The sequence below is a fragment of the Homo sapiens genome, chromosome 10 (genome assembly GCF_000001405.40).
Source record: "Homo sapiens chromosome 10, GRCh38.p14 Primary Assembly".
Lineage (NCBI taxonomy): Eukaryota > Metazoa > Chordata > Mammalia > Primates > Hominidae > Homo > Homo sapiens.
In genome coordinates this window covers 110,758,576-110,784,725 of record NC_000010.11, presented here as the reverse complement: position 1 = coordinate 110,784,725, position 26,150 = coordinate 110,758,576, and the positions used below count along the sequence as shown (strand labels likewise).

At 45.6% G+C, this 26,150-nt stretch overlaps 1 protein-coding gene and 1 pseudogene across 4 annotated transcripts in view, besides 3 other annotated features; both read right to left on the bottom strand.

Moving 5' to 3' along the window:
* The window catches only part of RBM20 (RNA binding motif protein 20), a 196,224-nt gene that overhangs the window by 54,743 nt on the left and 115,331 nt on the right, over positions 1-26,150 (bottom strand). For 2 of the 4 annotated variants that reach the window (XM_017016103.3, NM_001134363.3), the window contains exons 2-4: positions 2,842-3,925; positions 1,299-1,360; positions 294-385 (exon numbers count right to left, since the gene is read on the bottom strand). In XM_017016103.3, coding sequence (XP_016871592.1) covers positions 294-385; positions 1,299-1,360; positions 2,842-3,925 — 1,238 coding nt within the window. Of the gene's footprint in view, positions 1-293; positions 386-1,298; positions 1,361-2,841; positions 3,926-7,148; positions 16,445-19,900; positions 20,950-26,150 lie in introns of those variants that run through there. The other 2 variants (XM_017016104.3, XM_047425116.1) reach the window with 2 other exon arrangements.
* Positions 9,044-10,243: an enhancer, noted in NCBI's record as "P300/CBP strongly-dependent group 1 enhancer chr10:112534241-112535440 (GRCh37/hg19 assembly coordinates)". NCBI's record gives its function as "activates an origin of replication core promoter dependent on BRD2, BRD4, P300/CBP, MED14 and CDK7 cofactors, with strong dependence on P300/CBP, by STARR-seq in HCT116 cells {active_cell/tissue: HCT116}" and the evidence as "EXISTENCE:reporter gene assay evidence [ECO:0000049][PMID:35650434]".
* Positions 9,964-10,153: an enhancer, noted in NCBI's record as "active region_4042". NCBI's record gives its function as "activates an Ori minimal core promoter by ATAC-STARR-seq in GM12878 lymphoblastoid cells {active_cell/tissue: GM12878}" and the evidence as "EXISTENCE:reporter gene assay evidence [ECO:0000049][PMID:35858748]".
* Positions 20,066-20,566: an enhancer, noted in NCBI's record as "H3K4me1 hESC enhancer chr10:112523918-112524418 (GRCh37/hg19 assembly coordinates)". NCBI's record gives its function as "activates a minimal SCP1, AML or CMV promoter by ChIP-STARR-seq in naive H9 embryonic stem cells {active_cell/tissue: H9 hESC(naive)}" and the evidence as "EXISTENCE:reporter gene assay evidence [ECO:0000049][PMID:30033119]".
* Positions 23,484-23,584, bottom strand: RNA5SP327 (RNA, 5S ribosomal pseudogene 327; annotated as a pseudogene).

The window sequence follows — 26,150 nt, the reverse complement described above, 5'->3', positions numbered from 1 at the left end:
ATAAGCAGGCATAGAAAACTGAACCTTTCCCCTTCACATATTATTAGTGATTGGCATGATTGTACCTCTGGACATGCTGATAATCAGCAAAGCTTTACGTCTCAAGTATCTCAGAGAATACTGATGGGCCCAGACAGCAGGCCCAATGCATTTTAGTGTCTTGGGATCTGTTTGCTTTCTACATCCGTGAGAAGGGGACATCAGGGAAGTCCTGGTTATTAAAGACAGGACATAATGTGCCTGTGGGTAGCCCACTTCTGCTTCAAGCTGCTGACCTGTAGGGCCTTGCTCACCTTCATTCCCAGCAGGGTTATAAACAGCTGTGCTGTTGGGAGAAGCACACAATGTTCCCTCTGCCGAACCAAGTATACACCGGATGCCAGCACTGGAGAGGGCGAGAAAGGGAAACCGGCTCCTTAATAAGTTAAACAAAGAATTAGCATGTGACCCAGAAATTCCACTCGTAGGTGCAGACCCCCAAATAGTTGAAAACAGGTGTTCAAACAAAAACTGTCCCCAAACCTTCCTAGCAGCCCTATTCACAATAGTCAAAAGGTGGAAACAATCCAAATGTCCATCAAAAGATGAATGGATAAACAAGAATGTGATATATACATGCAATAGAATATTGTTCAGTCATAGAAAGGTTGTACATATTACAACATGGATGGATGTACCTTGAAAATGTTATGCTAAGTAAAAAAGAAAAAGCCAGTCACCAAAGGCCACATATCATATGATTCCATTTACAGAAAAGTACAGAACAGGCAAATCCGTAGAGACAGAAGGCAGATTGGTGGTTGCCAGGGGCTGGCTTAGGGGGAATAGGGAGTGATTACTTAATGAGTATGAGGTTTCCTTTTGGAGTAATGAAAATATTCCGGAACTAGAGAGTGGTAACATTTGCACAATGTCGTGAATGTGCTAAATGCCACTGAATTGTATACTTCAAAGTATTTTCAAAGTATTTAAAATAGTAAGCCCTATGTGAACTTGACTACAATGAAAAAAATGAAAGCCAGAAAAGGGAGGCACACGCCCACGCACACACGCACTTCCGGCCTCTGCCTGGTGTTTTCTGCCTAGCATTTACCACCAGGGATGCTGTAATTTTCTTGTTCATTTTGTTTATCATCTCCCTGGCCCCTGTGAAGCACAAGCTCCTTGAGGGCAGGAACTTTGCCTGTTCTGGTCTCTGCTATTGCCCCAGGACTCAAAACAGCGTGTGACACACAGTAAATGCTCAGTGAATATGTGTTGAGCCTACGCATGAGCCTGTCCTCCTGAACAGCACTTACTTTTCAGAGAAGACCAGGCATTTCTGAGCGTGCAGCTTCCCTTTCACATGCAGCTCCCAGTCCTAGGTCAGAAGGAAAGAAAAGTGACCAAAGTAGAACTGAGTCCATGGGAAGGCAAAGGATGAGCACAGAGACACTGGTCAGGCAGGGAGCACAGAGCGCCCAGAGGCTGGACCACCCCTGCAGACACATCCCTCCACCCTTCCTCTCTCCCTCCCAGGCTCCTCCCACTGTTCCTGCCTCCCCATCCAGCCTTTGCTCCATCAGCTCCTCATCCATACATCTCATGCCCATCTTGAACAGGAGCCCAGACTCACAAATTGGATTCCCTCTACCCCTCTCAATGGACCCTTGCCCCCACCACCTACCTCCCACCTCCCACCCCTTCTCCTTTCCCCCAGGAAGACCCCACCTATTTCATATCCAGTTGGGAGAATCTGGCAGGTAGACTCACAGTGACTTACAAAGCCTTAGAAAAGGTTCATGAGAGACAAAATCCTTGAGCACCTCCCCGTGTCAGCTAGTCCCCTCCCAAGACTAGAGGTCAGAGGGCATGTCCTATCTGGGTCACAGGGATGCACTTGGATGGTGTGACCCAAACAGAGGTGAATGACATGCTGCAGTGTGACTCACACTCTGCAAGGACATTATTATGCTTTTGGACAGGATGAGAGATGGGAGGCAGGACAGCCCAGTGTTTAAATGGTGCAGGCTCTGAAAGGGTCAGGGCCACATTTGAATCTCCACTCTGCCACTTTCAAGCTGGGGAGGTGGCGGGGAGAAGGGGCTGAGTAAGTCATCTCATCTCTCTGGGCCTCAGTTTTCTCATCTGTAAAATGAAAATCATAATAATATCTACCTCATAAGAGTTACTGCTGGCACACAGAAAGGGTTTAATATATGGTATTTGTTATAATTGTTATTGCTTCAAAATATTTCACTGCATCTGCAATACATTTTTTGGGGGGACATTATACTATCATATACCTCTGTTTGCAGGAACTCAAAGCATTTCCCAACCACCGGGAAGGTGTCATGAGACTCTACCTCCATTTTGCTGATGGGGAAGCTGAGGCTCTCTATAATAATTTGTCTAGGTCCCAAGGGGGAATTAATCTGTTTCCCCTGATCCAAAATTCTGCTTTTTTTCTTTTCTAACTCACTACAATATGGGTACTCAAGGGGCAGTAGATTCTAGGCATACTACGGGGGAGAAGCCCTCCACGAGAAGGCAGGAAACTCCTGAGCCCCTTCTCTCTGCAACCCAGGTGGGGTCCTTTGCTCCCCTACTCAGCCTCAGCTTTCTCATCTAGAAAAAGTGTGTAAGAATTTCTGACTCACCTTCAAGCAAGGGACTGGTCCTGATACATTTCTGAAATTCCTATGGGTCCTAATACCTGTGATTTTAGTCAAGAATACTGATGGCAAAATTCTGTTACCCCAATGCAACAGTTCCTTGCCCATTGGCAGCGTGAGTTGGGTCATGGGGAAAGGCCTGCCCAGGCTTCTAGCTGTGGCTCCCAGCCTGTCTTGGACAACTCACCTTCAAATCAAACACCTTCTTGTCACAGATGCTACAGATATGCGGCAAGTGGAGGGGGGCCACACCGTGAAAGTCGTTCAGCTCATGAGCCTGCAGGGGCCGCACAGATAGCAACGCCTGGTCCTCCTTGGCCCTCCGCCCAGCACCGATAAAACCCTGTTTGCTGTTGTTAAGCCGACCCCCGAAGGAAGGAGGTGTCCTGTCTGAGGTTGGTTCCTCGGGGTCGTACAGCTCATAGGGCTGGTTGTGGGGTGGAGGCCACATGGGACCTGCTGTGAGATCAGGCTTGCTTTGGCCCGAGAATCCATGGGGGCTCTCCCATTGGCTGTTTGTGCCCTGCAGCAGTGGCCCGACCTCACTTTTCAGGCCCCCAGCCTGCTCAGCTGGAAATCCGCTGGCCACATGTGAACCTTGGGAGTTGGGTCCGTAAAAATCTTTGGAAAAGGCAGCTTGACCATCCTGCCCTGTGTGGCTGTAGTGCCCTTCATAGGTCACACTGCCCGAGGTTGAGGCCGAGGATGGCAGGAAGCCAGGCTGACCATCTGTTTCAGGGCCATATGTCTGGCCAGAGCTGGCTTTGCCATACTCATAGAATCCTGCTGTAGCTGGAGCAGGCCCAGTCTTGCCAATGCCCAAGATGACTGCTGGCTGGCCAGGGGTCTGAGGCATTACCCCAGTGAAAGGATGCATCACCATGGCACTGGGTGGCTGGTTGGGAAGGTTCATGGAGGGTCCGGGGCCTCGTGTCTGGCTGGGGGGTGAAAAGGCAATTGCATTAGAGGGAAACCGGGTACTGGGTATGGCTGCAGCATGTTGGGGAACCCCAGCATGGCCGTGGGGGCCAGTGATCACAGACGGATGCCTCAGTTGATTGAAGAGAGGCTGGGACATGGCCACTTTGGAGAGGACTTGGTTCAGGACTGTGGCGGCTGCAGTGTTGTTGGTGACAGCTGTCTGTGCCAGCTTCAGCCGGTGGAGGGTGAGCTGGGCCTGCAGTTGAGCCAGCTGGAGACTGGCAGGTGAAGGAAGCAGAGGGTTCGGGTTACTGACCGAGAATGGGTTCTTGTCCAGGAGCTTGGCGGCACTGTGGGAAGACAGAGGTCTAGATGCACAGCTGGTTTTCAATGAGGGGGGCAAGGGGCTGTTCTTTGTTATCTGTGGTCCCCCCTCCCACATAAACAAGACCTTCCCACACTGGTCCCACATACAAGTGAATCTGCAAAAACCTGTGCTCACACATACACATTAAAAAAAAAAAAAAAAACTCCAATGGAAAAATTATATGACAGAACGTTCAATCTCACTAGTAAGTAGAAACATAAACTAAAACCATTCAAAACAAATATTTGCCTAGCAAAATAGCAATTTTTTAAAATGGCACTCCGTGTTGGAGAGAGAGTAGAATAGGCACAATGTCAATGATAATCAACGCATACAGCTTTGTTAAAAGATAGTCTAACAAAATGCATTTATTATAGCCATATTCTTTGACCCTGGAATTCAATTATATAAATCAAAACTGAGAAAATGAGCTCAAATGCAGACAAAATTTGATACCCAAAGATGCTTAATACTATACTATTTAAGAGTCCAAAGTTGAAAATTACAAATATCCAACAATAGCGAGATGGGATTTGAACTGAGGAAATTATGATACACCAACATAATAAAATATTAAGTAACCATTACTATTGGTGTTCAAATTTCTACTTTATTATGTAACATTTAGGACATTCAAAAAAGAGTACACAGCACCAAGCTTAAGACAGAGAGCATTCCAATACGATAAATCTCCCTTGGTTACGTGCTCCCCCCACCTCACCCTTCCCCGTGATTGCCAATGGTAAACATTATCTTGAATTTGCCAAAGTCTCTGTTACAAAAAAACAAAAACAAAACCACTTTAATGACATGAGAAAATCTATATGCTCTAATGTTAAGTGAAAAAGGCAGGCTTAACAATTGCCTACAGAGTGAATCGTGTTTACATTTGTGCCAAACACATTTTCATCCTTGTCCTCATTTCACATCCAAAAGTAACATGAATTGTCTTCCTGTCTGAATATAGGCACAAACAAATTCAGCGTCTCCTATACTCTCACAACACGAACCACTTCTGACACTAGATGTGTGGGAGGTTTTCTCCACACACCAAGCAAGCAACCAGTTCTGCAGTGGACACCAGCTGGGTGTCTGCCAATTCAGTTCTGACACTACCTGGGGAAAGCGTCAGATCCCACAGGTTGATGGCTCAGCCCCACAAGACTGTCCCCCCACTTTGGATGTCAATCACAAGCCCCAGGTTGTTTTACTCATGCTTCTGACCAACTGGCTGTAAATCAGAATTAGACTAATTTGCTAGAGAGGCTCCCAGAACTGAGGGAGATGCTTAGTTTTACTGGTTTATTAGAAAGGATATATGACAAAGGATGCCAATGAACACCAGATGGAAGAGGTGCATGGGGCAAAGTGTTTGGGAAGGGGTACAGAGCTCCCACATCCTCTCGGGCACCCCCCTCTCCAGGAACCTCCACATGTCCCAGTCCTTTCTGGGTTTTTACGGAGGTTTCATTGCACAGGCATGTTTGATTAAATCATTGGCCATTGGTGATCAACTCTACTTTCAGCCCCATTCTCCTTCCCTGAGGTTAGGGGTGAGGCTGAAAGTCCCAACCCTTCCATCCTGCTGTGGTCTTTCCAGTAACCAGACCCCATCCTAAAGATACCTAAGGGGCTGCCAGACATTTGTCAGCTTATTAGCATACAAAAAGATATTTATCCGATTCCAAAGACTTTTGGAGTTTTATGCTAGGAAACCTGAGGAAGACCAAATCTCACAATATCACAGTTCCCTTCAACTGAGCTCTCAAACCTAACTAGTATAAGGAATAACCAAAAAATTACAAGTAAAAAAATCTGAATTTGAGGTAGGGGACAATAGCAGACTCTCACCGAATCTTACTGCAGAAAGGGTGTCCGTCTGACATGTGTCTTTCATGTGACCTATATTGGTTGGTTATAGTGGTTTCTGGACCAAAAATCAGTGTGCATGGTCTGGAAACTGGAAAGACTTTCCCAGAACATCTGGGATATGTGGTTACCACAGGCAGGGAGGGAATCTTTGGTTAAGACCACATTTTCCAGGTTTTAAATTCCCCTCTGAAAAGTGGGTGTCATCAGGAAATATGTTCAGGATGTTGATGAACTGGAATTCTGGGACATTTGAATGGGAAGAAGGGGACTGGAAAACTGGAAATTGGAGTTGCCATAAACAATGCATGCTGTACAATAAGCATGCTTAGGCAGTACAGGGTAGACACTGCACAACTGGGACACCTTAGTCTCCACTGTCACAGGTTCTGTACAGTAAAAATCCAATGATAATGGAACAAAAACGAGAGAGGCTGGGAGCTAGCTCAGCTGAGGAGGAAAAGGGAGACATAGCAAGTGACATGGGTTGCCACACTGTCTTGTTGGAAGGGAGTTCCCAGAACATCAGGCACACCCACATTTAAATGTAAGTACAAAGCACATTTGAGAGCCAGATAAAATGCCTTTGTTATTCTTTCCCATTTGCATGAAAAATCAAAAATTGCCTATAAGTTGTTAAAAAGACACCACCTTCCCCAGCCAGCAGCCCTGCTATGCTCCAAGGGCAGAACAGGCTGGCTGCATTTTAAAATATGGGGGAAGAGGGCACTGAAAGTTAAAGGTAGTTACAGCCCTGTTCTCCTTTGGGGAGCCGGGCTGGTTGCAAACAAGCCTTGGGGGTCCCTGGGTGACCCAGCACAAATTCAACAGCAGCAGAATGGGGAGCGACCAATGTCTATGTAGGCAAGAATACGGAAGGAAGAGGAGAATGGATGGTCAAGAGTCTGATGATAGATTTTGACTTGTGTAGTATTAAGTAGCTGAGCTTTAGAAAAGCAATTAAGCTTAACTCAAAACCGTGGCCACACAGGGCCAACTCTTCCTCCCAGGTTTGTCCATCATACAGCCTGTTCTTGCTAACAAGGCGATAATGAGGTGCCAAGTTGGTTTCCATGACCAGAGTAAGACAAGGTTGGTTTTGTTTTTCCCAGAGAAGTCAGCTCTATTTTCTAAAATTGCATTCTGGGCAGGAGGGAGCTCTTAGTAGAGATTCCCCTTTGCCACTGAAAGGACACGTGAGGAAGGGCTTTCCAACTAGGAAAGCCAGCCATGCTGGGTATTTGCAGGTCAGCCATGGGAAACCTGTCCTTTTCAGAGTATGGCCCAGGTTACAGACGTTAACCCATTCAGATTCCTCAAAAAATAAGAAAACTAACCAGGTTTTCTTCTTAATTTTTGCTTTGACTAGGAAATTTTCATCATTCCCAACTTTAGTCAACCTTGAGTAGAAGTGATTTCACATGAATCATCAGAGCTGAGCACCTGCTTTCATCCAAACACCCTAGACAAAGAAGAAAAAACACATCATACTATTTTTAAAGCCCTAAAATTCTTAGCCTGCAATAGTTAATAACCTGAAATTGAGGTGCATATAGTAGTGATCATATTTCTGAACCAAAAATTGGGGTGCATGATCTGACACCCCTGGAAGCTGGAACTGATGTCTCCTGCTGTCTTCCCACTCCTTAGTTTGTCACTTTTATATCACTCAGCACATCCTGTGCCTTGGGTTAAAAATAATTGCGTGCGTGCCTTTCTACTCCACCAGACATAAGTTCCACAAGAGAAAGGAGTGTGTCTTGGAGAATCTTGTATTTCCTCAGCACACTGCCTCCCACTTTATGGGCACAAAGTAATTGCCGTGAACAAAATGAAGAAGGAAGATAAGGGGTATGGCTCATCAGAATCTGGTGGCTTTGAGGCAATATGGACACCTCTTTTATGAGTACCCAATTCTGTGGAGAAAAACCCACAAACAGCTCAAAAAGGACAATCTAAATACACCCAAGAAGCAAATAAAACTAAACCTACAAGCAGGTACAAAGTCACCTTCCTAGGTCACTATCTACAATTTCCCACTCCAATGCAGGAGCTTCAGTACACTCTTTCTCTGTCTAAGTTCAGGTTTTTAAATTGAGTGGATAATCCCTGCAGTAGGCTGAATAATAAAAATGTTCACATTCTAACCCACAGAGGCTGTGAATATGTTATCTTACATGGTAAAGGGGACTTTGCAGACATGATTGAATTAAAGATCTTGATTATCTGAATTTCTGAATTTAATTTGGTATGCCCAATGTAATCACAAGAGTCCTTCTAAGACGGAAGCAGGAGGATCAGAGTCAGCGAGAAGATATAAGGATGGAAACAGAAGTCAGAGAGGAGAGAAGATGCTTTGCTGCTGGCTTTGAAGATGGAGGAAGGGGCCATGAGCCAAAGAAATGCAGGAAGCCTCTTAGAAACTAGAAAAGACCAGGAAACAGATTGTCCCTTAGAGCCTCCAGAAGGAACTAACACCTTGACCGTAGTCCAGTGAGGCTGGTTTTGGACTTATGGCCTCCAGAACTGTAAGATAATACATGTATGTTATTATAAGCCATTAAATTTGTGGCAATTTGTTACAGCAGCAATAGAAAACCAACACAATTCCCAAGACAATTAGATGCAAAAGTGGCTTCCACTAGAGAGGCGGTGGTAGGTGTAGGGGCTGACTGGACCTTGCTGGTATGAATTGATCCCCCCAGAGTACAGACCATCTGACCAAACATCCAAAGACCCTCTGGGAATGTAGTCAGGGGCCAATTCTGCACAAATAGGGGCCCAAGCAACGTGTCTCAGACCTGGCCAGTCCAAGAACCACATCCCTCTGGCAACAGTGATTGGCTCATGGGGGAACACTCTCGGATACTTTGTTAGAGCTATCAGGCATGATTCTCTGTCATGCCATGGTTGCTAAATTGTTGTTAAGCCATCACTTAATGACAGCCTGCTTGAGAATAAAGCCAACTCAGAAGATGCTGGCCTGAAGACAGAGGTACAGGCAGCTCCTTGATGACTTCCTAGGAATGCCTTGAGCCAGCTTCTCCTGAATCCACCCTGTACTTTGCTGGACATGAAGCAATGCATTTCCTTTATTTGCTTAAAGAAAGCCAACCTACGTAAACCACGGGCATTTAACCATCTTTTAAAGACGGTTCCTGTCTGTGGCCCACATTGACTTGAAGGTTCCTGGTCACCCTCCAGTTTCCTCTGCAGGAGTGGACTGACTGTGAGGACCCAGTAGTTGGAGCTACAGGGTCACTATCATCATCATAGGGAGAAAAGAGGATTAGAAGATAAGGAGTGGGCAACTGCTGAGAGAGGAGGCAGCAGGCATGGGGATGGGATTTGAGGGATCCAAGAGAGTCTTAACATCTGGTTGGTGAACCAGGACTTAAAGGGCTGTGGAATAACAAGGACACAGCTGAAGTGCAGTAGAGTGAATGTGCGTAGATGTATCAGCAGGCTCTCTCCTGGTAATGTCCAGCCATCCAGAAGCAGGAGCCAAGAACCACAGCCCAGAGCATGGTAGTGCCTAAACTCATGCACCGGCCACATCTGCAATAAGCACAATATCTTCCAAGATAACCAGTTCAGGAATTTAAATTCACTTCCAGTGCAACTGGCTGAGTGGTGAATGCGCCATTTCTTCTTTTGTGCTAAAATATAGAAAGTAATCGAGGTGAGAGGGCTGATGACCAGGCAAGAAAATATTTTCTAGGTATGACCACACTATAAAGGTGTGGCCAAATAAATGCAACGCTGAAGGTCAGATCTTTAGAGCAGAGTTGAGAATTTATGATCTTTCCATGTCTTTATGACACATTCTGCTAGTGTCAACACAGGAGAGACTTAAAGCAAAGAGAGGATTAATGTCAACTTAACTAACAAGAACTACATTATAGTTTTCCTTCCTTCTGAACCATTTTTCTTTAAAACATTCCTTATTTATGGTATTTTGGTGGGAATTTCTTTTTAATATTTATCTTTCCTAGATCAAAAATTCTCAACTCTGCTATAATGCTTTCAGAAGCTAGGTCAGAATATGAACTAGAGAGGGACATTCCTGAATGTCAGGTTACAAAGGTGACAATGACAACACAACAGTCATATTGGGGCTAAAGTTCAAACTCTAGCTAGTGATCACACTTTAAGAGTGAGCTGAGGCCTTACAGACAATTTAGTTTAACTCACTCATTCTACAGACAAAAACAAAACAAAACAAACAAAAAGAAAACAACAAAAAACAAACAAACAAAAAACCGCAAAAGCCAATGAAGTTGGCGTCCTCTGTGAAACCGCCTAAGTCACACACCGAGACAGAGAAGAGCTGGGACTGGAATGCAGGCTGCCTCTGTCCTCAGGGCTGATGGAGGTAGCTGTGGTCGGATACACGCCTATCAACATATACCAGATGAATTCTCTCTTTGCAAGGAGAAGATGAGGCCACACACCTTTTGGATAGTGCTCTTTCTTGATAACAATAGGGCTGCTGGGTCTTCACTAGCTTGGCCTCTGTGACTAATTTCGAGACTACTGGGTCAATGCTGCTATTCTGTGTTTGGGCCTTAGCCATGACATTACCATATGATGATTCATATCACCATGACACCTCTTGGAATGATTCATAACAGCAATATAATCCTATCATCTCTCTTTTGTTTTGTGTTTTTCAGTTGGTGTGTTAATGAGTGTTCTCACTTCATTAGCTGTCTCATCTCCAGAACAGCCATATGGACAGCTAAGTCAAATATGACCATTTCCAGTCTATAGTAAGAAGACTGAGACCAAGAAAGATCAGATGAACCGTGTGAGGTCATCCAGTGAATAAGGGACTTGACTGGGACTTGAAGGAGGGTTTTTAAACTGTAAGGCCAATATTCTATCCTCTGTTTACACGTTCATTAAAGGGAGCTCCAAAAACCACATTTCTGGGCCTACTTCCTTTGGGCCAGTTAAACATGAGTTTGGGTTAGTTAAACATGAGTTTAACTAACATGTTTGGTATCAGATCCCCGGGCTTTCAGTCCACTGTGCTCCGTACGTCGCTTATCAGGCAGAGCACAGTCTCAGAACCAGGGGACTATGCAGTCACAATGGGGCAGCTGGTGGGTTTAGAACTGACACGAGAGGCCTGCCTTTCATGCTGGACTTATTAGAACGGCTCAAAACCTGCCAAAGAGAACTGATCCTGCAGCAAATGCAGAGAAAATGATACACATTCTGCTAGTGTCATCACAGGAAAGACTTAAAGCAGAGGATTAATGTCAACTTAACTAACGAGTCCCATAGTATAGTTTTCTTTCCATCCTTCTGAACCATTTTTATTTCTTTGAAAATATTCTTTATTTTTATAAAATGAGGGTATGGTATTATAGGTGAGAATTTATTTTTAATATCCATATTTGGTTTTTTTTGAAAATTTTAAAATACAGAAATATGAAGAGGAAAACAAACACTTATGAATTCAGTGCCCATTATCCAAAATGAATAAATGCTACTGTAATGGTCATTTTGCTTCAAAATTTTTTAATAAAAGAATATTTGACAGATAAAGCTGAAGCCCCCTTTGAGACTCTGCTAAGTTCAATCCCACCTTCATCTCCCCAGTGACATCCACATGTGGTGTGTCTATCTGTCTGTGTATCTGCCTGTATCTATATATAGAAAAAAAGCAGGAAAATAAGGGATTTTTCCACATGTGTGCATTTATAAAATAGTGCCTAGGACTGATATCAACAAAATTTCTCCTTAAGAACAAATGCATAACCTACCAAGTTTCCTCTAACACACTGAAGACTGAGAATAGCGCAATGGAGTGCAAAATCAGGAAGCTAGAAATCAGAAGACCTGGGCCTGGCCCAACAGCCCTTATTCACTCCCTGTGGGATCCTAGGTCAGTTAGTTTCCCTGGATCTCAGGGAGTTCTTTTTTTTGTAAAATGAGAAAGCTGGATGAAAGGATCTCTAAGGTCCCTTCACCTTTGAAATCTGATAACTCTAAGGTTTAATTTCCTCATCTGTCAAATGGAGATCGTAATGTCTGTTCCACTCACTGTAAAGATCAAACGTGATGTGCAGGTGCTCTGGAAAATATGATAATTATATTAACTATCATTATCATTGCTCACAAATTCAGCTATTTCTGCACCTGGCCACTCCTGGGAGTGCTTTTAAAGAAACCATTGTTATATATACAGTCATGTGCTGCTTAACAATAGAGACATGTCTTGAGAAATGTGTTGTTAGGCAATTTTGTCATGCGAACATCATAGAGTGTACATACACACCTAGGCTATATGATATACCCTATTGCTCCTAGGCTACAAACTTGCACAGCATGTTCCTGTACTGAATGCTGGAGGCAACTGGAACACAATGGTGAGTATTTGTGCATATCTAAATATGTTTAAACCTAGACAAGTACAGTAAAAATGCAGTATTATAATCTTATGGGACCACCATTGTATATGCCATCTGTTATTGACCAGAACATCATTATGCGACCCGCGACTGTATATGGCTTCGTTCAGAGGCATGTGTTGCAGGCCAGACAGCATGAAATAATTTCATTCTCTCTAACCTTGTTCTGTTAGGCAGTCAGTTCAGCACGGAGGCTCTCTTACCTATATCCCTGAAGATTTAGTAAATGAAATACCAAAAATACTTTATTATAAAATTCTCTCATCTACAAAGACATTTCCCAGATGGACCCACAGCTTTCAGAGTGAAATGTGGCTCAAATCCATTTAGGACAGGAGTTGGTTTGTCGGAGATGCAATTATTAAGAAAATCCACAATGGGCAAAAATTAATTGGTTTTGTGCAGTCTCAAATTGAGGAAGCTGGTTTGACTTCTGGGGTTAGGGGAAATCTTTCCATTTTCTCGGTAACATAAGATCTGGTGACCTCTCAACTGAGAAACTTTTCTTGGGAACATCTGAGTCTTTTGTAATGGAAAAATGAGCTTTTCGAAATGTATATTTTAAAACTGCTATGCAAAGCATTTGGTTTCTCTAAGAAACCAAATTGCTAATGTTTATACACACAAAGAAATACATAGGGATTTATAGATCAATCCTGGCCCAGTGATAGAAAATGTACACACAAGCATTGATGCCTTGGCATATACTGGCCCCTCTCCCTACACAACCTCCTCCCTACTCCCCTTCACCTAGATATCTACCATACTTTGAAATGTAGCTCACAGGACACCTCCTCCAGGCAGCCTTCTCTGGTTTCTGCTCCCATCCAGTGTGCACTGATGTCCCTTTCATGATCTTCAGAATGCCCTTCTGCTCCATCAGCCTCAACTGTACTCTCTTCTAACTCCACCACCTGCTCTCATAATTGTCTACTGAAGCACTTGTCTGACTTTCCCACTGTCCCATGATCATTCGAAGATAGGAACTATATGTGTCCCACACCACATCACAATACCTAGCACATGGTAGGTGTGTGGAACCAATAAACACTTCTATTCAATGGGCTAGGCATGGTGGCTTAACGCCTGTAATCCCAGCACTTTCGGAGGGTGAGGCAGGCGGATCACTTAAGGTCAGGAGTTCTAGACCAGCCTGACCAACATGGCGAAACCTGGTCTCTACTAAAAAAAATACAAAAATTAGCCAGGCATAGTGGTGCGCGCCTGTAGTCCCACCTACTCGGGAGGCTGAGGCAGGAGAATCGCTGAGATCACACCACTGCACTCCAGCCTGGGCAACAGAGCCAGACTCTGTCTCAAAAAAACCCACAAAAAAAACCAAAAAAAAATTTATCCATGGACATGCCTGCTCCATGTATATGTGTATGTAGATAATAGCTGTGTGTTCTCCCTTCGTTTTCTTGGCTTAATGTTCCCTGTGTATTGCTACAATGCTTTGAAAGATGAAGCTCTACAGAGAATGTGGATTAGATTCAGTCTTTGAACACGGACAAAATTATGTAAATATCACTAACCACATCAAGTATAAAATTGTAAAGTATTCAACAAACAGACTTCTTGTCACGTTTTTCCTTTTAACCAAATCGGAAGAAAATGCAATTTCAGTGTGTGCCTCTGAGGCGCTGTTAAGTGCCTAATCTACACGATGTTGGGATGAAACCTATGTTCCAGGACTGGTCCCCATGTTCTGTGAATTTTCTTTTCAGCAGTTTACATCACCGATATTTTTTTCTATTAAATGTACAAAGACAGTTATAAAATTCAAGCCAATTTGAAATGAAAGAATTTTGGATTAATTTTAAAGAATTAAAATTCTGTTGGTCTTTTTCTAGAGTTGCCTGACAATTAACCTAGACATTTTAACTGACGTGATTTCAGCCAAATACTAGAAGTCCACATAAAACTGGAGAGGCAATGTGGGCCAGTGGGGGAGGAAGACTGTGTCGGTTTTAAGTAGACCAAAAGCTCTGTCACCAATAACTCTACATCTTATTGACTTCATGTCACCCTATCGACCTTAGTTTTCTCATCTGTGAAATGGGAGGGTCAGATGAGACAACATTTAAGGTTTCTTTATGCCTTATGATTTTAGGATGGTGGGTGTTTTCTTAAGGCAGTTATTCATGACACAGAAAAGTTAGGATGATCTGGCCATGGTGCAGAGACAGATCTGAGGACTGGGGTACCTCAGTTTCTGACAAGGTGAAATAACAGCAGTAATTCAAATTTTGGTGGGCACCCGGAGAGGAGAACTTCCTAAAACACAGATGCTGGGCCCACCCCTCACCACCACCTACACCCTCATCTCTGTGTCTGACTCGGAAGATCTGGGGGTGGAGCGTGAACATGTACATTTCTAACAAGTCCAGGTGAGGCTGATGCTGCACCTTGAGAACCGCTGTACTAGAGTATTTTGAAAATACTTTCCAACCCTAAGAATGTATAGTGAGGTGGCTGGGGGTAGTGGCCTCACACCTGTAATCCTAACACTTTGGGAGGCCACAGCAGAAGGATCACTTGAGGCCAGGAATTCGAGAACAGCCTGGGCAACATAGAGAGATTCTGTCTCTAAAAAAATTTTTTAGATTGGCCAGGCATGGTGGCGCACAACTGTAATCTCAGCTACTTGGGAGGCTCAGGTGGGACGATCACTTGAGCCCTGGGTTTTGAGGTTACAGTGAGCTATGATACCAACACTGCACTCCAGCCTGGGTGAGTGAGCAAGACCCTGTCTGAAAAAAAAAAAATCTATAGTGAGTTATCAGGAATTGAGTAACCCCTGTATTTTAATGAGCTACTTCTACTAGCTGCAAGTACACCAAGAATGGGCTTCCTCTTCCATGGGGGTTTCAGACAATGTAAAAATAATTTCAAGGGACACATGTAATTAATTATAAAACTACCTTCCCTTAAGAGACATAATCAAGATTTTCAGAACATTTGGGCTGCTGTAATAAAAACACTCAAGGTTCAGGGAACCTTAGGTAACATAGATGGTTGAGTGACTGGCTTGGCATCATATTACCAGGTTTGTTGGAAAGGGAGAAAGCATACCTCCATCTACACTGAGTTCACTAGTACAGAGAACAGAGGGTGAGCTTCCAGAAAGCTGAAAGTTCTTTAGTCAACACCCACCCCCATCATTATAAAAAGCCCATTCCAAAACTCACCCTAGAAGGCTTAGGCTAAAACAAACAAATAAACAACAACAAAAAAAAGGTTGTTGATAAAGTCATCTGTATCACTAGATCTCAAACTTGGTGGCACTTAGGAATTACTTGGGAAGTTTTAAAAAGAACTGGGGCTTGAGTCCCACCTCCAGAGATTGACTCAACCCAGGCACTGGAATTTGTAATATTAATAGCTCCCCAGGAGAACAATTGTGCAGCAAAGTCTAAGAATTACCAATCTATAAAAGAATAGAATCAATCTGTTCTTTATTACTTTGGGTCCCACAAGCCATTTTTGTCACTCCAAACAGCATGACCATTTGTCTTAAATGACCCTGAAGAATAAACACTGAAATTTCTACAAGTCCACAAAGGGTCACAAGTCCACAAAGGGTCAAACACAATACAGCTAAAAATATTTCTTAGCTCTATTGGCACCTTTTCATGCAAATCGATAAATATTTTTTGCAACAAGATTTCCCCCAGAGAACACATACAGTTTCTGCTGCAGAATGCCAGGTGAGGTTTGCTAGGGGAGGAGTTTTGCCTTCTAATTATAAGCACCTTGAGGACATCATCCACATCCTAGAATCTTTCAAACTCCCAAGTGCCTATGTGGCTCAACACTGGGCAAATTAGAGGCACTGAACAAATACTGGTTCAACTGACTTGAAATTATGACTGTCTTAAGCATGTGGGAATGTAGATCTTACCAGAATACCCTGTTTCCTTGTGAAGGACATGGTATATGTTTCCGTGTGTGTTTTGGGAATGTGCACAGTTTAATTCCTTTACACTCCTTAGATTAAATGAGAACATTAAGATTGGGGCTTTATAAATAAGCCATATAACTATTTATTGAGAAAAATATCCCTTTCCCAAAATGGGTGGAAGTTTCTGGTGCCTTAAGACACATATCTTTCTGACTACAGCCAACACAACACAGATGTCGCCCAAGGCAGAGAATATTATATGTGCATTACTTTTGGCTTTTGCCTCTATCTTACAAAGCTGTGGCCATAAGAAAGTTCTCCCTCTCCCTCTCCCTCTCCCTTTCCCTCCCTCTCCCTCTCCCCTCTTTCCACGGTCTACCTCTGATGCCGAGCTGAAGCTGGACTGTACTGCTGCCATCTCGGCTCACTGCAACCTCCCTGCCTGATTCTCCTGCCTCAGCCTGCCGAGTGCCTGCGATTGCAGGCGCGCGCCGCCACGCCTGACTGGTTTTCGTATTTTTTTGGTGGAGACGGGGTTTCGCTGTGTTGGCCGGGCTGGTCTCCAGCTCCTAACCGCGAGTGATCCGCCAGCCTCGGCCTACCGAGGTGCAGGGATTGCAGACGGAGTCTGGTTCACTCAGTGCTCAATGGTGCCCAGGCTGGAGCGCAGTGGCGTGATCTCGGCTGGCTACAACCTCCACCCATCGTCTGGGACGTGAGGAGCCCCTCTGCCTGGCTGCCCAGTCTGGAAAGTGAGGAGCGTCTCTGCCCCGCCGCCATCCCATCTAGGAAGTGAGGAGCGCCTCTTCTCGGCTGCCATCCCATCTAGGAAGTGAGGAGCGTCTCTGCCCGGCCGCCCATCGTCTGAGATGTGGGGAGCGCCTTTGCCCCGCCACCCCGTCTGGGATGTGAGGAGCGCCTCTACCCGGCCGTGACCCCGTCTGGGAGGTGAGGAGCGTCTCTGCCCGTCCGCCCCGTCTGAGAAGCGAGGAGACCCTCCGTCTGGCAACCGCCCCGTCTGAGAAGTGAGGAGCCCCTCCGCCCGGCAGCCGCCCCGTCTGAGAAGTGAGGAGCCCCTCCGCCCCGCAGCCGCCCCGTCTGAGAAGTGAGGAGCCCCTCCGCCCGGCAGCCACCCCGTCTGGGAAGTGAGGAGCGTCTCTGCCCGGCAGCCACCCCGTCCGGGAGGGAGGTGGGGGTCAGCCCCCGCCAGGCCAGCCGCCCTGTCCGGGAGGGAGGTGGGGGGGTCAGCCCCCCACCCGGCTAGCCGCCCCGTCCGGGAGGTGAGGGGCACCTCTGCCCGGCCGCCCCTACTGGGAAGTGAGGAGCCCCTCTGCCCGGCCAGCCACCCCGTCCGGGAGGGAGGTGGGGGGGTCAGCCCCCCCGCCCGGCCAGCCGCCCCGTCTGGGAGGGAGGTGGGGGGGGTCAGCCCCCCGCCCGGCCAGCCACCCCATCCGGGAGGGAGGTGGGGGGGGTCAGCCGCCCCGTCCGGGAGGGAGGTGGGGGGGTCACCCCCCGCCCGGCCAGCCGCCCCGTCCGGGAGGTGAGGGGCGCCTCTGCCCGGCCGCCCCTACTGGGAAGTGAGGAGCCCCTCTGCCCGGCCAGCCGCCCCGTCCGGGAGGGAGGTGGGGGGGTCACCCCCCGCCCGGCCAGCCGCCCCGTCCGGGAGGTGAGGGGCGCCTCTGCCCGGCCGCCCCTACTGGGAAGTGAGGAGCCCCTCTGCCCGGCCACCACCCCGTCTGGGAGGTGTACCCAACAGCTCATTGAGAACGGGCCATGATGACAATGGCGGTTTTGTGGAATAGAAAGAGGGGAAAGGCGGGGAAAAGATTGAGAAATCGGATGGTTGCCGTGTCTGTGTAGAAAGAGGTAGACATGGGAGACTTTTCATTTTGTTCTGTACTAAGAAAAATTCTTCTGCCTTGTGATCCTGTTGATCTGTGACCTTACCCCCAACCCTGTGCCCTCTGAAACATGTGCTGTGTCCACTCAGGGTTAAATGGATTAAGGGCAGTGCAAGATGTGCTTTGTTAAACAGATGCTTGAAGGCAGCATGCTCGTTAAGAGTCATCACCACTCCCTAATCTCAAGTACCCAGGGACACAAACACTGCGGAAGGCCGCAGGGTCCTCTGCCTAGGAAAACCAGAGACCTTTGTTCACTTGTTTATCTGCTGACCTTCCCTCCACTATTGTCCTATGACCCTGCCAAATACCCCTCTGCGAGAAACACCCAAGAATGATCAATTAAAACAAAAAACAAAAAACAAAAAAAAAAACAAAGTTACTGCAGAGTAGAGCTAAAAGACAACCTCACAACGGTTAGATACACAGGCCCATCTTCATCACATTTGCATGTGCCATTCTAGATATTTTCTTAGAATACCACAAACTAAACCTGTGGTTACGATCCAAGCAGATTGAAAACTGCCTTGGCTGAGGCCAGAAAGAATGGTTAAAGCTTGAAGACTGATTTTTTTTACTTGAAACTGCTCTCCAGCACTTTCCCCAGCTACCCCATCCATTGCTAATTAGAGGCAGCCAAGGCTTGACATGTACACAGTTCTCTGTGGTAAAATTGATTATTATATTACTATGGAAAATAAGGAAGTCATTTCATTCGAAATATCAAATTCCACAAAAATCATACATGGCAGCTGTTAGCATATGCATGTGGGGGAAGGGCAAGTGTGTGAACATATTAACCCTCTCCCCTTCAGTTTTCTGACATCTCAGAATTGCAAGAAAGAAAAGATTCCAATGTATATAAGGCAGAAACCAATGGCAAAGCTGCATAAAAGCTATTTTTGAGGTTAAAAAAAAAATCTCCGTGATATAAGACACCCCGTCCATGCCGTTTTATGAGTATGGATTTGCTTTTACACACTTGCAAGCAGAAAACTAGTATTCCTCTACCACATGTGTTGAAGCTACTTGTAATTGCATCAGATAGAGAAATGAGGTGAGTCATGTTTGGTTGTGCTTGAGTCTGCTAACAGACCATCATGTCCATGTCCAAATTTGTACCCTGAACCGCACAACAGAAGTTTATGCACTTGCTTGCTTGCTTGGCGACAATGAAAATAGTTTTGTTTAAACACTTAACTTTACTTAAAGATACCTAAGAGGTGCTGAAATTCATATTCCAGCTACTTCAGGGGTGCTCAGAAGCTATTCTCAAGCCTTGTTTCTTGGCGAAATATCCCCTGCTCATGAATTTTAACACGGCACTCCCCTCCTGGTCCAGAATGAGTCAACACTCAACACATACGAGATGTTTCAAACACCTTTAAGTTCATTTTCCATCACTGCCAAATTCCAGCAATTAACACAAAGCACCTCACCCTTAAGAGATGCCCATCATTTATAAAGTTTTGGGATTCTGAATGCATCCCCTTCCATTCTCCCAGATCTGGTGATAACTCAATCTGTTTTCCAGTAGCCTTGCGACTTTTCTTTAAAGAAGAGTTTAGTAACCAGCGTAAAAAGAGCATCTAGACTTCCTGACATTAGGATCGCTGATTTCACTGGGGTCATGAGGAGCTGTTTTAGGTCACATGTTAAACTGCCGTTGTGAATCATTTGTTAATTTTTTTTTAAAACGGAGGGGGTGGGGACACAGACAAATCGCATACTCATGCACAAATGCTCAGCGCCGAGAACATGTTTAGAGGTGCTGCCTGAACTGGAGAATTAAAAAAGAAACAAATAAACCTCGATTTCTCCCTTGTGCTGGGGAAAGGTAGGATGATGTCATGCAACCTTACCTTTCTGAAACATACCAGGGTGCCTGGCACGACGGGCTGACCTGCGGCTATCGAAGCCTGGAGTCATTTTGGGTGTTGCGCATGTGCCTCCCTAGAAAATTCCAATGACATTCTACCAGCTTTCTGCATGCCAATCATGACAAGCCTTCACTCAAACTCTCTCGAGTCTGGAAAGGGGCAGCGGAGGGGGTATGCAAGCGAGGGAGGGAGGGAGCGAAAGAGAAAGAGCAGTGCCTGAGCACGGCATACCCGCCTGGAAGGGCAGTCACATGCCACCGGGAGCCATTCCTGCTGCATTACACATGCTGAGTGTAAATGGCAAACAATATCAGTCGATGTTTATGCCACATGTTCTCAGCCTCTTCACATATCAACACCCAAGCCAGCTCTATGGAGACAGGTCTCCTGAGAGCACTTCAGAAGAAGGGATCTAGGTCTGATCGCGCTGACCATTTTTAATAAAATTCCAAAGCCTCGCCTGGTTTACTTCCCTATTTTTTGTTGTTGCTGCTGTGGGTGGTGGTGGTGGTGGTCTGTTTGTTTGTTTGTTTGCTTGCTTGCTTTTTACTCTGGGTTTTCACGGGTGAAAATTTGGTCCTGAAGATACCCTTAAAAACCTTAGCAATCCAGCTACATCAGACAACCCCAGCAAACTGACTCCCAGCCAGCAAAGCTCCTGAAACACTTGCCCTTCTTTATTTTTGTGGAACAGGAGATGAACGGAGATGACCCATCATTTCACCTACCCAGTGGTAACTGCAATACCTTTCAGGAGGAAAAGTGAGTTCTCCTTTGCTCTAAGCAGTGGCTGGGGATGATTTTGGCCCCCAGGGTAATGCTGGAAACAGTTTGTTGTCAGAACTGAGGGGGGTGATGGGATGCAACTGGCATCTACTGGGCAGAGACCAGGGATGCTGACAAAATCCTACAATGCTCAAGACAACCACCACAAAAGATAATTATTTGGCCCAAGATATCAATAGTGTTGCAGTTGAGAAACTGTGCTCTCAGGCTAACGCCTTCAACCAGTCTTGCAGAAAGTACAATACCAAAAAAAAAAAAAAAAAAAAAAAAGCCAAGAAGCCCCTCTCTGTGAGGAAGTGGCTAAAGACCCTGGCTGGCCTCATTCAGAGTTTGATTACTTAGAAATGTAACTTTTCTTCCGAGGAGCCACCGTTCTCCTGCCAACTTTTTTTTACTTTTCTCCTTCCAAATCTCACACTGTAATCCTTAAACACTCAAACCAAACTCAACCTTCACGTGATTTTCTAAAATCAAAATCTGTTGTCACAGGTACTTCATTGTCAGGTTATGCAAAGCAACCATCATTCCAATTTGTCCTGTCTGGGACAGGCTGATGTCTACCTGCAATGCCTGGTGTCCACTGTAATCTCCTATCCAAAACAGTCAATAGGGTATATTCCTTTTAAAAGGTCAAAACTCCCCAGTGAGCTTATAAATGACTTAGTGATTGAGGCTTACTAGATTCTCCTATTTTAACTTAGCCCCTTGGAGGAGATGGGGCTTGGGGTATCCTGGCATCAGGGGGGCTTCCCTCCTGCTGGGACTGAATTCAGACCCGGTGTGTGACGTTTCTATAGTCGCACTGAAAAACCAAAGTGAAAGCCAGTCGGATATGTTTGACCAGCCTGTTTCTAGCTGCCCACCAGAGGCTCTTCCATGGGCCACCTGCCCCAGTGACCTCCCAGGAGAGCCCAAAGGCTTTTTCTTCCTAATTTAGTCACAGCCCACAGGCTGTCCCAGGCTCCGTTGGCCTCAGCCGCTGACTCAGTCACAGACACCTAAAAGCGCCAGTCCCAGCTCCTGACCTGAGGGAACCAGCCAGCCTGGCCGTGGCTGCCTTTCTCTTCTGGCCTTGAGTCCTTCCCATGGTCTACTAGGTTTCCCCAAGCTGCCAGGCTCTACTCCAATCAGCAGGTTTGGCCCTTCCTCTCTCTGTCTTCTTTCATTATGCCCAGAACTTTCTTAGACTAAGAGTTTATTGAAAAGCGCCCCACCACACACATCTTCCCAAACCCACATAGAAGGCTCTGCTCCTGTCTGCCATTGTGGGAGAAGCAGTGATGTGCAGTGGTTAAAAACAAACACCTGAAACCTGCCAGCCACAGCCAGCCACAGGAAAGAAGGATGAGGACCGTGCCTACCTTCAGGATTCTGGTAGGAGCCACGTGTCACCTGGTACAGCCGGAGCTGTGTATCTGCTATTGTGAGCTCCGTAACATGATACACTGAATGTGAGCTTGATTATTGAAATAAAAGGAACCCTCATACACGGCCTGGAGTGCAATTCCCAGGAGAATAAATGCCAATACTTAGAATAAGCCCTTCTAATTGTATGGTCCTAGCTCTTACCCAGAGACTGGGACACAACTCCAGTTCCAATCTGGAAATGAAGACGCACAAGCTGAACATCCCAAATGAAAATTCAGTTCAATGTCGTAGGCATGTATTGAGTACCTACTGTATACCAGCACTGTGCCAGGCAAGGAAGGAGTGGGGAACATGTGGTAGGCAGTAAGTCTGGGTGCACAAGGCTAATTATGCTACCTGCTTCACACATTCTCTTGATTTTCACAAGTCTTAAAACAAATTAAGATCACTATCCCCATTTTACAGATTAGAACATTGAAGCTCCAAATGACTGAGTACCTCACCTAAAGTGTCAAAGCCTAGTATGTGGTTATTTGAAACAATGTTTGTTGGATTCCAAAGACTTTGTATTTCCACTAAAGCACCTCCCAGTACACAAGGTGTATTTTTAGTAGGGACGGGGTTTCACCATGTTGGTCAGTCTGGTCTCCAACTCCTGACCTCAGGTGATCCGCAGGCCTCGACCTCCCAAAGTGTTGGGATTACAGGCATGAGCCACTATGCCATGTCAGTTAATCCTTCCTTTTACTCCAAAACTAGTATTAAGGTAAGAGGTGGAAGCTGGGTTGGGAGAAGCACATGGCACACCTGGCCCCCATGAATACTGTTATTTATTATGATACTATGGGTCTCTTCCGGTACCAGGATAGACGGGGATAATCTGGCCTCCATGCCGGGGACATGTCCTGCAGCGGGTGGTATAGTGGCCCTCACTGGAAGTAGAAGAGGGTGTTAAAACACAATAATGTAAGGAGGAGGCAACTGGCAGTGGTATACACCCCACGTGTGGGGACAAAGTCAGGGAAAGACTGAGATCCAGTGAATATAATGAGTGTTCACCTGGGAGGTGGGAGACTCGGGCTACGGCTGGCTGCATCACCCACTCACTGTGTGACCTTCAACCGTTACTGAGTCCTTGTGGCTTAAGTCGCCCAAGTGCCAAGTACACAGGAACTTAAGGACATACTATGCTGCCATTAAAAAGTGATATTTACTATTCATTTACTATTTAATGTTAAATCTAAAACCAGTGCACAAAATTGTATATACATTACAGTTACAGCCATGTAAAAGGCTTTCCTCTGGTAGGAAAGAAATCCTATTGGAGAACATACCAAACCGTTAACAGGAATCATTGTGTTTAGATGGTAGAATCATAGGTAATTTTTTTCCCTTCTTTCCTTTTGTAAGTTTTCTAAAGCTTCTCCCATGCAAGTACTAACTAGGCCTGACCGTGCTTAGCTTCTGAGATCAGATGAGATCAGACATATTCAAGGTAGTATGGCTGTAGGCTAATTTTTCTTTTCTTTTCTCTTTTCTTTTTTTTTTTTTTTTTTGAGATGGAGTCTTGCTCTTGTTGCCCAGGCTGGAGTGCAGTGGCATCATCTTGGCTTACTGCAACCTCCACCTTCCTGGGTTCAAGCAATTCTCCTGGCCCAGCCTCCTGAGTAGCTGAGATTACAGGTGCCCACCACCACAACTGGCTAATTTTTTTTTGTATTTTTAGTAGAGATGAGGTTTCACCATATTGTCCAGGCTGGTCTCAAACTCCTGACCTCATGATCTGCCTGCCTTGGCCTCCCAAAGTGCTGGGATTACAGGCCTGAGCCACTGCACCTGGCCAACTAATTTTTCTTTAATAAACATACCTATTTTAAAATTAAAAATAATTTTTATAAGACAAAGGAATTCCTGGCCAGGTGCAGTGGCTCACACCTGTAATCGCAGCACTTTGGGAGGTCAAGGCAGGCAGATCACAAGATGAGGAGTTCGAGACCAGTCTGACCAACATGTTGAAACCCTGCGTCTCTACTAAAAATACAAAAATTAGCCGTGCGTGGTGGTTAGTGCCTGTAATCCCAGCTACTTGAGAGGCTGAGGCAGGAGAATTGCTTGAACCCAGGAGGCAGAGATTGCAGTGAGCTGAGATCCTGAGATCACGCCACTGTACTCCAGCCTGGACAACAGATACCCTGTCTCCAAAAAAAAAAAAAAAAAAAAAAAAAAAAGATGATGGAATTCAGCTGGGCTAATATTGACCCATGTAGCTTATAGTGTCTTCCAATGAACCCCTCAGATGAAAGTGTCTAACACAGCCCCTTTCCCAAGAAGGGAGAAGGGATTTCCTCTCCTGGAGAACCAGGTGCTAAGAGTAAGGGCAATGCACATGTGCATGGGAGGGATCTTCGTGAAGCACTGCCACGTTTACACATGAAGCCAAAGCACCCGATTCAGGTGGGTTTTCACACTTATGTTCTGGGAAGGTTCTTTGCAAAAGGGGATGGAACACGCCAGCACATTGTTCAGTCATCACAGGTACTCATTTTATGATCTCAAACTTGTCCATCAGAGGGACCAAGGTCATCAACATCAAGATAGCTTCTTGGTACATGCCACGGCTTGAAGCTCACAGCCTTCCCCTGTGCCCCCCACCACCACTGAGCTAATTGCAGACAGTCAGGTAAGACCAAAGGAAGGAGGCAGAGTAACTGCTCAACCATGGAGGTGGGCTTGGCTCTGTGGCCTCCAATTTAACATTTGGATTGCCTTTGCTTTGTTTCTTACACCTTTCAGGGTGGTACTAGGTCATTGTTTTTTCTTGGGCTATGTAAGTACAAAGAGAGTAGTAGATTCATCATTAAACCAATGACAAATCCAGGCTAGTCCAGGATTACAGACTCTGCAGCTGAGCCTCCTCTAATCCTCAGCACACTGAGCCAGCATTGGCAACCTCATCTCTGTTTTCGCCTGGCAATCTTGCTGGAGCCGAATCTCCATCCATGCTGGATGGACAGAGCCGGTCCCTGCCATTGCCCCTCCCTCTGCCCCTGCTGGGACTAGCCAGTGGCTGCTTCAAATAGCCCAATTCTTGCCCAGGAGGTAGAGAGGCTTCCGTGGCCTGAGAGATCCCAATGCATATATGGCATGTAAGAAAACCACTGGAAACATTCCTGGGGCCTTTTCTTTTTCTCTTATTTCTTCTTTCCTTTTCTTTCTTAATCCTTTCAACATAAAGTGGCAATTCAAGGTGAAATTCTCTCTAAACAGCGATTTCTCTTTAAAACCAGGGCTGACTACTCTATCTTTGCAATGGAGGAAAATAGAAAAGCTATGCCAGAAAAGATGAGGTCTGAGCCCCCTAGGATGATGGAGGAGTTGTATGTGGAATACAAAGAGACACCTTGAAGGAGCCATGGTAGGGGTTCCAGCCTCTTGTTACCAGAAGATGCAAGTCCAGAACAAAGGCAGGATTCGTTCCCAGAACGAACAAGCTCAGCGCCGAAAAGGCTACATCCTGCACAGACAAAGGCTGGCCACAGCCATTAGCAGAGGAAACCAGTCAAGAGTTGTGAGTCAGCCAATGTGGAATGAGTCCTTCCTAGGAAAGGAAATAGGTTCTTTGTTGAGCAGGGATTTTAACTCCTGTCTGGTTAACTGTTATTCCTTTGTAGGTTCTCCAGAGGCCCATAAAACAGAAGCAGGAAACATCATTAAATTTTCCAGATTTGCTCTTTAAAAACTGACCAGAGCTTCCAGTCAGGGATCTCATGTTGGATCCACAGGGTGACATATCCTCAGTACCTTCTCACAAGCTGCCCTCCCTACCTGAAACGTCCTTCCCCTCATCTGCACTGTTCAATAGGATAGCTATTTGCCACATTTTTCTATTTAAATTTAAATTATTAATATTAAATTTAAAACACAGCTCCTCAGTTGCGTTAGCCACATTTCAAGGGCTCAACAGCCACATGTGACTAGCGATTATCATGCTAGACAGCACATATCATCGGCGGCAGGTGGAGGGTTCTGCTGGGCAGTGTCGCTTCATATCTTCATGTGACTGAGTCTCAAACTCACG